The sequence below is a fragment of the Homo sapiens genome, chromosome 21 (assembly GCF_000001405.40).
Source record: "Homo sapiens chromosome 21, GRCh38.p14 Primary Assembly".
NCBI classification, from domain to species: domain Eukaryota; kingdom Metazoa; phylum Chordata; class Mammalia; order Primates; family Hominidae; genus Homo; species Homo sapiens.
Genome location: NC_000021.9, coordinates 36,727,784 through 36,742,893, shown reverse-complemented (window position 1 = coordinate 36,742,893; position 15,110 = coordinate 36,727,784). Strand labels below are relative to the sequence as shown.

The 15,110-nt window shown below is 50.9% G+C and overlaps 1 protein-coding gene across 6 annotated transcripts in view; it reads right to left on the bottom strand.

Moving 5' to 3' along the window:
* Positions 1-15,110, bottom strand: part of SIM2 (SIM bHLH transcription factor 2) — a 50,803-nt gene that overhangs the window by 7,024 nt on the left and 28,669 nt on the right. For 4 of the 6 annotated variants that reach the window (NM_005069.6, NM_009586.5, XM_047440952.1 and 1 more), the window contains 2 exons: positions 11,743-11,849; positions 1,030-1,177 (listed from right to left, as the gene is read on the bottom strand). In NM_005069.6, the coding sequence (NP_005060.1) occupies positions 1,030-1,177; positions 11,743-11,849 (255 nt within the window). The remainder of the gene's footprint in view (positions 1-1,029; positions 1,178-11,742; positions 11,850-15,110) is intronic. The other 2 variants (XM_017028442.3, XM_047440953.1) reach the window with 2 other exon arrangements.

The following is a 15,110-nucleotide window of genomic DNA, read 5'->3' as shown; positions in this document are numbered from 1 at the left end:
CATGTTCACACAAGGAGAGGTCGACCTGGAGAACCAGCCCACACATTTGCTCAGGAAGAATAACTAAAGGGCTAAACTGTTTTCTCCCTGACAGTTTTGTCAGAATCACTTGACTTCTAAGACACAGTCATTCTATGAACAAACCTAGAGCCTAAATCCTCACCCCATGTAAAGTGCAAACGAGAACTCTTTTCATCATGGGGCTGGCGGCATGGCAAGGGTCACAGCCTGGAGCAAGGTGATTGAACGTACAATAGCTATGGTGGGTGGAAAGTAATATATGGCCCCAGATAGACATCTGTCCTATTGCTTCTAATGGCCTTAAAAGTATTTGCAGGCTGGGCACCGTGGCTCATGCCTGTAATTCCAGCACTTTGGGAGGCCGAGGTGGGAGGATCACTTGAAGCCAGGAGTTCGAGACCAGCTCCTGGGCAACATAGCAAAACCCCGTCTCTACAAAAACATATTTTTTTTTAATTTACAAAAAAAAAAAGGCATTTGCGACTGAACTTGACCTTCTGGAGTGTTTAAAGGACCAAATATTCACCATGATTAATTTGTAACAGGCTCTATAAGAAGACAGGTAAAAAATGGGATATTTCCTGTCTCAAACAGCAGGAGCATCTAAGATGACCTAAAGGCTTATAGGCATGGATAGCACAAGTTTATATTCTTGATGGGGGGTGTGCACCCTCTTTGCACCCTATTCAGGATGGGGGGCATCACCATCCGCCCCCATGCTCCTCACTAGGTTCTGTGATGGGATCCGAAGCTATGCCCAGGGCAGGCCCCCTCCTCCTGGCTCCCCCTGCAGCCTAGCACTTGGCTTTCACCGCTGAGCATAGAAATAGTTTGCACCTTCCAAAATGACCAGATTCCTAAAAAAAAAAAATTAAAAAAAAGAAAAAAAACAGAAGACAAATGAACAGTTTGAGAAAGAGAGAAAGAGAGATGGTGCTTATTGGAGCCATCCGATGTGGGACAGGGAAGAGAAAAGAGCAAGGAGAGAAACAAATACGTGTGACTTACGTGAGTACATAATTGACACTCACGATGCAGTGGGGCCGGGACGAGCGGCTGTTGTGCACCACGGTGGCGTAGCTCTGCACCCACACCCAGCCGCCCCGCTTGGACAGCAGCCGGTAGTACTTGGTGGTGACCTGGCCCTTCACCAACACTGCAAGCACAAGGTGACAGGAGTCCTCAGACGCTTCGCAGGCCCCACCTCTGGGATGCTGCCCCCAACGGTGACCTCTGTCCCAAGGACACCTCTGAGAACTTGACAAAGGGGGCGGGCTTTCTCCGCTGGAGGGTGCATGTCTGTGTGCGTCTCGTGCGTGCACACACACACACGCGTGCATATACATGTGCACACAGGAATTTTGCCTTCAGCTTCAAGGAGTTCCCACCCATTAAGAACTCTTATTTAACAGTCATTGCTTTCATTGAGGGAAACATTAGCCACCAAAGTTTGTATCTGGCAGAATGAAAAAATTCAATCTGCTTTTTAGTTTTCAAAATGCCACAATTATGTTTTAATCCCCAAATCCTTAATGGGGAGGGGGGGTGAGTGATGTAGTTATTTACACAAAGTAGTCAGTTAAGTGCATTCAACCAAGTGTCAAGCTGTTGCTGATGTTTGCTGTTCAGGAACATGAGGGTATTCACAGTGAAACTGTTTGTTGCCATTTATATTTTCTTCCCATTAATCCCAGTTTTCCTTGGGCCCATTAATTTGCTATGTTGTTTATGTAGGAAAGACCTCTACTTGGCTGCAGAGTTCCTGAAAATTGGGCCTATGGGCCTGTCTTCTATGCTTGGGTGCAAACTCCAGGCCGCTAAGCAGCTCAGCCAAAGGCTCGGTGCACCCATAAACCACAATTCCACCTCACCGCCTTCCAGGAGGCAGGTGGGGGAGGAAAGTGCCAGAACCCGCAGGTGGGCAGTGGAGAGGTGAAGCTTCTCCAGGGAAGAGGAGGATAGCACAAGTCTAGAAAGACACCCTTGGATGTCTGGGTCCTCAGCTCCAGAACATTCCTGCTTCTCAAGGCAGGACTGGCCCCTGGACCTAACTAGCAGCTGCCTGAGCAGAGATCTGGGGAGGTGGCCAAAGGGGCTGAGTCTGTGACTGTACCAGCTGGGGCTGAAGGAAACTCCCCAAGGTGCATTTCCAACAAAAATTCAGCCTTTGAGGCTCATATGCAACAAAAATTCAGCCTTCCTGTCATACCGCTGGGCAAAGCCCCCAGTCTCTGCCCAAACACTCCTGGGCTGTCTGTGGCCCTTTACGGTTCCTTTTCACCTTGCAGATGGCTCTTTCTCATCCACATCAAAATATTTTGGTGCAAAAGAAAATGCTGCACGGAGTTATTCACCTTAATATATAGGGGGTTCGTACAGATTGATAAAAACACAAAGACCCTAAAAGCAATATAGGCAAAGATCAAAGAATAAATATAATGGGCAAAATGATGAACAAATGCCCAACTCCCTTGTTTAACTCAAAGGCAGATCCATCCATCAGATCAACAGACATTAAAATAGAAACAAACATTGTATGATTCCCTTTACATGAAACTTCCAGAATAGGCACATCCACAGAGTCCAAAAACAAATGAGTGGGTGCCAGGGGCTGAAGCACGAGGGGGACTGGGGTGACAGGCTCCTTTTGGGATGATGAAAACGTTCTGGAATTAAAGGTGATAGTTGTTCAACACTGTGAATATAACTAAAAAACACTGAAAATGGTGAGAAAGGTGAATTTTATCTAAAAAAAAAAAAAAATGAAAGGCCAACAGGTGACACCGGCTAATCTATGGTGAGTGGCATTTTCTCTTTCTTTCTTTCTTTCTTTCTTTCTTTCTTTCTTTCTTTCTTTCTTTCTCTCTTTCTTTCTTTCTTCTCTTCTTTCTCTTTTTTTTTTTTTGAGACAGAGTCTCTCTGTGTTGCTCAGGCTGGAGTGCAGTGGCATGATCTCACTGAAACCTGCCTCCTGGGTTCAAGCAATTCTCCTGCCTCAGCCTCCCCAGTTTTGCCAGGTTGGCCAGGCTGGTCTCAAACTCCTGACCTCAAGTGGTCCGCCTACCTTGCCCTCCCATAGTTTGCCATTATGGCAAACTATGCAGCCATTGCAGGTGTGAGCCACGGCGCCTGGCCCAGTGAGAGGCATTTTCATGTGTGATGGAAGGATGAGTTGGTGGAAAGCAGTCTGATAGCTCACACCCTCTGACACACTGATCTCACTTCTAGGAATTGATCCTATGGAAATTGTGAGCAGGTCTGTGTGTGCAAACACAGACTTACCTACAAAGGGTTTCATTGCAATATTGCTGAAAATTCAGGGAAAAGGGGTGGGGAGAGACTTAACTCTTCAACGGTAGGGAAAAGAGTAAATACATTATGGCAAACTATGCAGCCATTAAAATGATGATTAATAAGAAATTGTTATATTATGGGAAATGTGTGATACAATGTTAACAGAAGAAAAGACAAGATTCAGAAATGTGTAAAGTATAACCCTAATTATGAAAAAGTGGGCACGTGCATACACTACCCCCTCCAACAAACTGTGTGATCCTAGACTAGCTACCAACCCCCCTGTGACTCAATTTCCTCATTTATAAAAAAAGGATAATCAGTCCTTACTTCATATGGTTGTTGAAAGATTAGATGATCTATTTGAGGATTTAGAACACTGGCAGACACAGCTGAAGGGCTCAATACATATTAACTTTTATCTGACTGAAAATGACAGATAATTTTCACTTTCTTCTTTTCAGCTTTCCTTGACTTTCTAAATTTCCAACGAGGAGGAGGTTTAACCAGAATGAAATGGTTTTGTTTTTTACATGGGAGAGAAGATTGTGGGGGTTGGGAGGCAGGAATCCAGTCTCCATCAAGCCCCACCACCCCGTCAGGATGAACCTGGGGACATGAGGCAGTGTTGCGTAACGAGCATGCCACCGGCTGGAGAGGGGTCTCTCCCGGACCATGCAGAGAGCAGCGCTTTTCTGCCCAGGCTTAACATCTGCATCTCAGCCGACTCAGATCACTGCTCAAGGGTATAGGCAAAGGCCATGGCAAAGAGAGAAGCCTGACAATGCTTCTCCTTTGGGGGTTTGCTTCTCTAATGAAAAGATACATGGTGTCTACTTCCAGCTCATTTCACAGGATTGCCTCATTCTACCCCCACTACAACAGTGGGAGGTGGGAGGTGGGCAGCACCAGGAAACCGGGGCCAACAGAGCTTGAGGGCACAGCTGGAGTCCAGCCCAGGTGTCCTCAAAGTGGCAGCTGTGGGAGGAGGGAGCAGCGGCCTCTGGAAAGTTCTCTATAGCTATTAGGTTGGTATAGAAGTACTTGCGATTTTTGCCATTACTTTTTTTTTGGAGACGGAGTCTTGGCTTTGCCACCCAGGCTGGAGTGCAGTGGCATGAGCTCAGCTCACTGCAACCTCCGCCTCCCAGGTTCAAGTGATTCTCCTGCCTCAGCCTCCCGAGTAGCTGGGATTACAGGCACCCACGACCACACCCGGCTAATTTTTTGTAGTTTAGTAGAGACGGGGTTTCACTATGTTGGCCAGGCTGGTCTCTAACTCCTGACCTCATGATCTGCCTGCCTTGGCCTCCCAAAGTTCTGGGATTACAGGCGTGAGCCACCGCATCTGGCTGCTATTACTTTCAAAGTAATACATTGAATAATACGTATGGGGGTGAGGTGGGCTCACCTTTTAAGGGAGACTTGGCCAATTTGTTTATGGTCCAAAATAACCAAGAGATGCAGCAGGCTCAGACTGAGGATCCATCCACGGATTTCAAGAGGACTAGTGCTCGCTAAGCTCTTCAACCTCAAAATCTATTCAAGCCCTTAGGAATATGGCCCCATGCTTTTTTCTTTTTGCTTTTTTTTTGCTTTTTTTTTTTTTTTTTTTTTGAGACAGGGTCTTGCTCTTTTGCCCAGGCTGGAGTGCAGTGGTACAATCTCGGCTCACTGCAACCTCCGTCTCCTGGGTTCAAGAGATTCTCCCTGCCTCAGACTCCTGAATAGCTGGGATTACAGGCGAATGCCACCACGCCCGGCTAAGTTTTGTATTGTTTAGTAGAGACGGGGTTTCACCATGTTGGCCAGGCTGGTCTCAAACTCCTGACCCCAAGTGACCCGCCCGCCTTGGCCTCCCAAAGTGGACATTGAAATGTTTTAATAGCTGCACATGGCCTGTGTTCTCTTTGTGGTCTGGGCTTGGCCCATTCTGGGCAGGAGCCTACCTAGAGAGCCGGGTGAAATTCTCAACAACCTTGGAAGAATAGCCATGTGGACATCACGGTTCTTCCAAACCATGGACAGCCCAGTGTCCCATGACACAAACTGTCAGGTTTACTGACACTGATCCCTTCTCCACCTATGGACCAGGCTGTGCTCAGCCCCCCCTGAGGGTCTGGGTCAACAGATCACAAGCCTTTGCCAGCTCCCCCTACATACAAGAAAAAGTCTCCCAAACATGAAACAAAGAAAGCGGGGAGGCAGAGCTCGGCTTTCCTGAGGCCAGGCTGGAGCATGGTGCCTTTAATCAGCCACCTCAGGTGGTGGGTGAGGCGTGGGGTGGGAGGGTCACAGTGGTTCCATTTATGATGATCCCGTGTTCACTTTTCTTTACAGAATGTTCTGGGGCCGGGTATGGTGGCTCATGCCTGTAATCCCAACACTTTGGGAGGTCAAGATGGGAGGATCACTTGAACACAGGAGCTTAAGCCCAGCCTGGGCAACATAGCAAGACCCCATCTTTACCAAAAACATTTAAAAATTCGCTGGGTATGGTGGTACATGCCTGTAGTCCCAGCTACTCAGGAGGCTGAGGCAGGAGGATCACTTCAGGCCAGAAGTTCAAGGTTAGAGTGAGCTCCGACCACGCTACTGTATTCCAGACTGGGTGACAGAGTGAGACCCTGTCTCTAAAAAATAAAAATGAAGAAAGAGAGAGAAAGAACGAAAGAAAAAGAAAGAAAAAGAAAAGGAAGGAAGAAAGAAAGAAAGAAAAAGAAAGAAAGAAAAGAAAGAGAAAGAAAGAAGAAAGGGAGGGAGGGAGGAAAGACAGAAAGAAAAAGAAAGAAGGAAAAGAAAGAAAGAAGAAAGGGAGGGAGGGAGGAAAGGAAAGGGAAGGGAAGGAGGGAAGGAAGGGAAGGAAGTTAGTTCTGGGGAATATTGTGGCACAGCTCTGACTTCACAGACTCACCTGGTGACACCCAGACCACACCGACATGACGCCCGCATGCCCCCTTCTCTGGTCCGAGGTGCCCCCTCGCCTGACCTCTGCAAACCTGTGCTCCCCAAAGCCTGTGCTGCTGGCCCTGCTCTTCCTCACAAAGCTCAAGTTTCTGGAGGCTGGGAGTTCTTTCTCTTTAGGGGCTGCGATTTCTTCAGCCCCTGTGGACTCTTGCTCCCAGTGAAGATAATATTCTGAAGAACGTGTGCAAACCATCGGGCTGTCTGGCCCTCCCGGACCACCACCTCTTACCTCCAATCAGGCCTCTGCAGAGCCCTTGGCACTGACCCCAGAGGTTCCTGGCTTTTGGCTACCGGTGTGGGGAAAGCGAGGCCCCAGAAGAGGGGACAGTGACCTCACTCGGGTCCTGGCTGTTGGCAGCTGTCTGCTTTGTTCCTGCTCTCGGTGACCTCACCCACTGCCCACGACAGATGCGTCTGGGCATCTCACTGTGAGGAGTCCTGAGGGGCCCGGGCGGGGGTTGCTGTCACTGCTGGCTACCTCCAGCTACACTCGGTTGTGGCAGATGGAAGGGAAGCTGGCAGGCTGCCTGTGTCCCCGCATCCCTCGGGCAGCCACGGGGCCAGCTCTAGCTGATGGAGTTGAAAGACTTGAGTCTCAGGTCTGCAGTGGCCACAGTGGGGACCCTGGTGGAACCTGGGAGGGCAGGAGGCTGAATAGGAAGTCTGGCCTCACTGCCCTTCCCTCAAGCCAGGCCCTGAGCCGGGCTGTCAGCCACCAAAGCACTGTGTGACAGGACTAACAAGTCCCATTTCAAAATGGGGCCTCCCACCTTCTCAGCTTCTCCCCTGTCCTCCCCAAGTCGGCCTCTGCAGCTATAATATGGGAAGGGCCTCTCCCCACAACTTGAGTGAGGATACGGACATATTAAGGAATGACCTAGTTGAGGGCTGAATTGTGCCTGGGACACTAAGACAGTCCCCAAGTCCCCATCAGGACCCAAACACCACAAGACAAAAGCATCGTCCAGACCTGAGGTCCCTTGGTTGGGACTCTGTGGGGCCAAGCAGCAGTGGGGCACATGTCCCCAAGAGGAGAGCAGCAGCTATTGGTACAAAGCCAGGAGTGGAGACAGAGCTGGAGAGTGTGGGGGATGGGCTTCCCTCAGCCCTCACACAGCAGTGGTGTGGGTGTAAGGACGCTCCTGTCAGCCAACAGGGACCCCCAGAGAGAGGCGTGGCCTCTGTGGACAAGGGAAAGATGACAGACAGGGCTCGGAAGGGAGAAACTTGTGGAAGGTTAGAACAGAGAACATCTTAACACAGCCTGGATGAAGGCCCAGCAGGGAGGAAGCTGACGACAGGCTGTGAAGACATCAGCCTTGCTCTGGCCCAGCCACATCCACTGGCCTGACCTGTTCTCCCCCACTGAGGCCTTTCTTTGGCAGGGCCCACCCTGACCATGTTGGGGGTAAGCCAGGCAATCAAGGCCCCCTGAGAGCTGCCCTCCAGCTACTGACTGACAGGCACAGGGGTATCAATACCTCAGCTCACTCTCCCCTCTGCTTGATGACACTGGCTCTGGGGTATCCCCGGCGTTGAGCGCCAGCCTCCCTCGGCTGTAGCCAGTGGACAACACCCTTTGTGGCTCCTTCTCTTCTCTGGCTCACTCCTCCCCTGGCCATGTCTAGTCACTGTCCAAATCAACCATTGCACTTCAACTCCAGGCTCTGGGGCAGCTTCTGGAGTTTCAGGAAATCAAACAGGTGCCACCCAGCCCTGGGGATGGAGAGGCAGGAACAGGAGGCCTGGGGTTGGCCCCTCTGGCCCAGGTTCTGTACCTGGGAAGGAGAGTGAGGCCTCCACAATCACAAAGCTCCATACCATGAAGACCCCGACTCTGAAGACCCTGCTTGGGAGTTGACTGTCTTCCCAGAGAGTTCTAGCTTTGGAGAGGCGTGTGACATTCCAGTTGAGTGCTCTGAGGGGAGGCTGCTGCTCAGCCCTGCAGGTGGTTCCCACGCTGGAACCAAAGAACTCCCCATCATCTGAGACTATCCTTGCTTCCCCTCCCTCTCAAAGCTGCCAGGGGAAACTGAGGCAGGCACACTCATGGTGAACTCCAAGACCACACCAACCCACCGGCCTGGCTGGGGTGCAGTCTTTTCTGGTTGTTTCTCTAGCACAGCTAAGGTCAGAGTCACAGGACAGTAGCAATCACTGTCAATCTTGCTATTTTCTGTTTTCTTTGAATTACCAATTCTGGCTCATTTGGAAAAGAAAGCCATGCCCCGTCTAATTTCTAAACACGCCTACCTTTTTGAGCCTGTGCCTGCTTGCCCTTTCAGAGTCCCCTTGGACAACTTCAATATCTGGAAACTTCCTGTGAGATAAAGTGGCTTCATCATATAAACCACAGAAGACCCCTCAAATAAAATCACCTTGTGGGTCTGGTGAGCCAGGCAAGCTCAGGAGGGCTGGGATCCTACAGAACAGCCACCAGCCCACATCTCCAAGGTTAAGCCCCGTGGTGTGGTGTGGTGTGGTGGTGACGGCTGACAGCACGACAGCCAATGGGCTGGACTTTGGTCCTGCCCCAGCTCCACTGCTGCCCTTGGACAAGTGTCCCCTGAGTCTCACCCTGATCACCTGGGAAAAGGGCACGAGAGGGACACAGCTCCCCAAACTGCCCGCAGGTCAGAGTCTATAAGTGAAAGCATCTACCCATGATGGACACAGAGGAGGCACTGACTGAGCACCACTGTGGGCTTCATGACTGTTCCAAAGCAAATGGGGAAAAAAATCCCTGCTTCGGGCCGGGCATGGTGGCTCACGCCTGTAATCCCAGCACTATGGGAGGCCGAGGCGGGCGGATCACGAGGTCAGGAGATTGAGACCATCCTGGCTAACACGGTGAAACCCCGTCTCTACTAAAAATACAAAAAAAATTAGCCAGGCTTGCTGGCGGGCGCCTGTAGTCCCAGCTACTTGGGAGGCTGAGGCAGGGCAATGGCATGAACCCGGGAAGAGGAGCTTGCAGTGAGCCGAGATCGCACCACTGCACTCCAGCTTGGGTGACAGAGCAAGACTCTGTCTGAAAAAAAAAAAAAAAAATCCCTGCTTCCTGGGTTAGCCAGGCAGTGTGAGATAAAAGACATGGTATTTAAAAAGAAGACTTTTGTCTAGGTGCAGTGGCTCACACCCGTAGTCCCACTTGAGGTCAGGAGTTCAAGACCAGCCTGCTCAACATGGCAAAACCCTGTCTGTATTAAAACTAAAAAAATTAGCCAGGCGTGGTGGTGGGCACCTGTAATCCCAGCTACTTGGGAGGCTGAGACACGAGAATTGCTTGAACCCAGGAGGCAGAGGCTGCAGTGAGCTGAGATCATGCCACTGCACTCCAGCCTGGGCAACAGAGCGAGACTCCATCTCATTAAAAAAAAAGAGATTTTTGATTCCCTCAGTTTTGTCTCTGTGCTTAGAGGCCTAATTTCCTGCCTTTCAGCCCGCTGTGAAGAGCAAGTCTTCTCTTGCTGTAATTCGGGGGTATGCTTTAAACTCCCCAGCATTCTCCTGCCTCCATGGAAGGGGGCTCCAGACCCCCCAGGGCTGGGGCTTTCCCTTAGAACAGCTGGTCAGCCCCTCCGCCCCAACAGTGGCAGGGGGAGCGTGTGGAGGTATGAGCCCTCACCTTCACTCTCCAAGTCCCAGACTGTTCTAGGGCACAGCACAGCTCTATGCCCTCGAGGCAAATGCCTCTCCCGTCTCCCAACTGCTCTTGCTACTGCAGAGCCCCTCCACTCTGCTCTTCACACCCGCCTGATCAAGTCTCCTGGATATCTGATTCTAGAATTGACACACCATACCCAGTTTGCTCAAGAAAACTTTCTAGCTCCCATATTAGTGACACCGACGGAGAAGTTCCATCCGAACACTAAGCAGCTGCTTCTCTACCAAGCTTGGTCTCCAGAATGACAGAGATGGTTATGAGATCATGATTTGGTCTTTAACAAAAGACACAAAAGGGTTGTTCACACCTCCAAGTCTCCACATGAGTCAAGGAGCAAGGAAGAAGCCGTCTGTGCCTGCTCAGCCATAAGTCCTGGTTGTCACGGGTTTCTGTCCATAGAGATTTGGGGAGGGAAGAGCAACAGCGACACCCTGGGAGTATCGAGTTCCCGGGTCCCAGTCCACACGGAGCCCAGCACACCACGCATCTGTGGACCTAGCGGCCTGCGGGCCTGCCGTCCCCCTCCCACTCGACACTGGCAACCTGTCCTCTAACGTCCCTGAGCCAACAGAAGGCAGAGCAAGAACAGAGGACATGCCATCTGGGCCACACTGCAGAAGACCCAGCTCCTCTAACTGTCTGCACCCCATTATAAAGCACCCCCGACTGGCCATGGGCGTGGCAGGGCTGGACAGCAGGAGGATGAGGCATTCCACTCCATCCAAATTAGTCTTTGCCTCCATTTGGATTCTGAAAGTGTGTGGCTGGGTGCGGTGGCTCATGCCTGTAATCCCAGCACTTTGGGAGGCGGAGACAAATGGATCACCTGAGGTCAGGAGTTCGAGATCAGCCTGGCCAACATGGTGAAACCCCGTCTCTACTAAAAATACAAAGATTAGCCAGGCGTGGTGGCATGCACCTATAATCCCAGCTACTTGGGAGGCTGAAGCAGGAGAATTGCTTGAACCCAGGAGGCGGAGGTTGCAGTGAGCCAAGTTCATGCCACTGCACTCCAGCCTGGGCAACAGAACAAGACTCTGTCTCAAAAAGATTTTTTTTTTTAGATTTTAAAAAAGTAAAAGAAAAGTGTCACTTCTTTAAACATTTCAGTGACTAGAGCATCCGCCTCTATATCCTGATGTTCCCAAACCGCCTCCGTTGGCAAATCAAATTGGTGTTTGTTCACCCCGTCCCAAGATGACCTCTCCCATCGTGGAATGGTGGCCTCCCTGGGCTTCCCCTAGCTGGCTGGGGTATAGCAGTCGGAGGCAGGGCTCTGCGTGGGTTCAGCTTCCAACTCCGCTACCATCCAGCTGTATGAAGGTGGGCAAGCGGCTTAACCTATCTGGACCTCAGCATCCTCACTGGTAAAATGAGGATCATGACAGTGAGACCCTCCCTCACTGGGCTGGTAATGTATTTAGTCACTTAAACTTAGTGCCCGACAGCAGTAAGAGCTCCATAACTAGCAGTCTTCCACTGTTGCTGTTATTCGCAAATGGTGTCCAGATCACAGAGTTTAGGTTCCACATCCACAATCTAGAATCCAGGCAACTTCCTGATCCTACACCTGCTAGAGTCTCCCTGAAAGGGTGCGCGTGGCTGCTTGAGAACCGACAACAGGCAGCCGTACTTAATCACGGGGTGGAGGAAGCCACACTTGGGGCTTGAGATTCAAGTGTGTATCATGGATGATTATTGCACCAACAAAAGGGACACGTCCCCCGGCTCTGTCCTCAGCGCCTCCTCCCTGACCAGCTACCTCCCGTGGCTGGGGTGGGCGTGCTACTCACGGAGGTGGTGTGCGTAGCGGAGGTGGAACACGTCGCAGCCGTGCACGTGATGGTATAGGGTCTTCTCGATCAGGTCCTGCGGCTCGTACCCCGTCACCTCGGTCACCCTGTGGGGGCATGGCAGCTCAGTGAGTTACGCCACTCTGCAGACTGCCTTTCATTTAAACTAATATTGGTTTTGCCAACTAATCAAGTGCTAAAAGGCTCAGGCGGGAAATGTTGATTTTGGAAACTGAGAATGATCTTTTTTACAAGAAGCAAGTCTTTGAACTCGAGCCCGGTGCAGGATGTAGCACTATTCATGAATGGGAATGTTCTTCTGAAACCACCGGCTAAGAGAATGTTTGGAATGGCTTAAAATTGTAGCCTTTTTCCAAGTTCAGCTTATCGGGGAATGCTTACAAGTGGACTTTGATACTGATATTGCGAGAAAGCTGCTACGGTGAGAAAGAACCCACTCTTGGAGGGCTTCGGGGGGACGGTCCTGTGTGAATGTTTTTTATAAATTGTGGTAAAATATACATATACAATTCACCATGGTTACCAGCGCTAGTGTACAATTCAGTGGTATTTGGTGCACTCACAGTGTTGTGTAACAGGCATCACTGCCCCTGTCCAGAGCTTTCCATGATCCCAAACACTCTGTCCCCATTAAACACCAGCTCCCCACTGTCCCCTGCCCAGCCCCCAGTAGCCTCCCTTGTACTTTCTGTCTCTAGGAATTTTTCTCTTCGAGAAAGTTCATATCCGTGCAATGGCACACCATGTGGCCTTTGGTGTGTGGCTTCTTTCACTCAGCATGATGTTTCCAAGGCTATCCATGCTGAGGCATGTGTCTGAACTTCATTCCTTCTTAGGACTGAATACGTTTCTGTTTTATGTAGACACCACATTTGGTTCCTCCATCCCTCTGTCTGTGGACAGTTGTTTGCACATCTTGGCTACTGCGGGTGCGAGTGTTTAAACCTCTGTTGCACGCTAGACACTGTTGATTGGCACAGATGGTCTCAGGATGCTGCCGCTGGGTGATTCCCACTATTGGGAATTACGGAATAACTGGGGACCTTTAGGCTCCTATGAGGGGAGGATTGGTTCAGACCCCCCAGAAGACAGGATAACGCCCTAAGATATTGTGACTAAAAGGAAAGCCTTAAGCTCTCTAGAGAAATGGAAGCATTTTCCTGGGGCTTATGTGACACAACCCCTTTGTGTTCTCATCGAGCCCTGGGCATATTAATTTCCCACTTCGGCTCTTTGAAGAAAAGTGGCTCTCAGTACCCAAGACCACATCATCACCCGCATCAGGATCGCTCTGGCCGTAGGTGGAAGCTGCACGTGGCAACGATGGTTTCCCAGGCTTTGGGCAATGGGGCCGGGCACCATGTCCTCGAAGGAGGTGGTCCTCACCATCTTGGTGATAGATTTTCAAGAACAGATGAAAGAGAGAGGGATGAAGGGATTCCAAGGCAGGCGAGGCTATGGTGCAGTCAGTCCTGGGGGCCGGGTGAGGTCGGGGAAAGAGGGAGGGCTGGGGCTGGGGGCCCTCCTTGCTAGGATAGGAGACGTTAGCTGTAAATTAAACTGAAAAACTTGACCTCACTTTCATTCTTTAACCCGCTTCCCTTTCTGTTAAGATCTGCTCAAGCTTTGGGTCGTAAATCTCGGAGAGCCTCATGTTTCCCTGGAATTGTTCCCTGTTTGGTGTACTCATTTCCATGGTGTCCTTCTAGGGTAGGAAGGAGACAGGGCTTGCAGTGGTGGGGGAGAGGGATGCGGGGAGGGGGCCTTGTAGAGCCCAGAGCCATTCGGGGCTCAGGGAACTTGCCTAAGGGCCACCTAGAACTTCAAGCCCCATCAGAATCTAACTCTGTGTGGCAGGAAAATTGAGCCGTCTGTTTTCCCCCAAAAAGAAAACCAGGCATCTCTACCGTGTGGGGATGAAAGAGGCTTCCCAGACCCTTTGGATGCAAAGTTACAGAACAACGGCCCCAAACGTGTAAATGAATCAGAAACACATGTATTAAGTTTCTCATCAAAGTACACACTGGCTTTAAAAATTAAAGGGAAATGGAGGGGTTTGGCAAGGTGCCCTCCCGGTTTTTTCCAAGCCTCTAGTGTCTGAAGACCTGTCAGAGGAATCTGCCAAACCCCAAACATCGCTGTGTTCACCCATCCTTAGCAAAAGCATCAGCTCCAGTTTCAAAGAGAAATACCACAAAACCCTGACAAACCCAATTTCAGGTTACGGCGAGTTCAGTTGTGTCTGGGATTGTGCGGGGTGTGGCGCCAGACAGGCCCACGACCACCCTCGCTCCTGTGACTTGGGGCCGCTGGACTTCGGGCAAAGCCCTCGTCTGGCTTCTGGGGTTTGGACTCAGAAGGGACATCTCCCACCCTGCTTGGCCACTCTGCTGTCCTCCCAGGGCTGGGCCAGCCCAGGCCCCATCCCCTTGGTCACAGACTGACTGTGGTGACTGGGAAGGCCTCTGCAGCATTCTTCTGACCCCTTTCAGCCCCTCCCATGTGACTGCAGCTCAGAAAAGGCCTCAAGGCTTTGCTAGAAGTTTCCTGATATGGCAGGAACAACCAGAGATCTGGGAGAGGCAGGATGTCTCCTTCAAGACCACCAGCCTTCTTTTCTGTTCACTCCAGGGGTGCAGCCCCTACACCCTGAGACGCGGGAGCCCCCTCTGGCGCTGCAAAGCCCCATCCAGGCCCTGTCCAGGCCTCCTTTAGGCACAACCTCCTCTACCCTTGGCTGCCTTTCCAGGCAATGTGGATTGAACGGCTTGAAAAGCCCTCAGGTCTCTCCTCTGGGGAGACCACTTCTTTCCTGTTCTCCAGAATTCATCAGTCTCAGGGGTTTCCTAGAAGGCCCAGAGGAAAACTAGGAGACGAAACAAGGGGGAAACCAGTTGGATCCTCCTAGATGTCTCTGATAATGACTTTGGGCAGCTGATGTCCTTCCAGCCACCTCTCAGAAGTGGCTCCCAAGTCAGAAAAGAGGGAGCAGAGGGGTCCACCCTGGCTGGGGCAGCTTGGCTGCCTTCTCTCCCTGCAGCGCCTCCCTCTGCATGGCAGGAAAATGGCATTTGTCGCTCTTGGCCGTCCCCAGAGGTGCTGGCAGCTTTCCCCAAAGAGCGCTGTTTCCTGTCTGCTTGGAGTTTCTGGGAAGATGCTGGTGACCCTGACACACTCACCCTGCTTCTGAGTGGTCCTGAAGGGTGTCGACAAGGAGCCAAACTGACTCCTGTCTTTATCTCTTGCCCCTAACCAGGAAGATCTGTTTTTTCTCTATAGAACATCAATAAATGGTTAAAATGATCAATTTTATGTGATGTGTATTTTACCACAACTTTAAAAAGTGA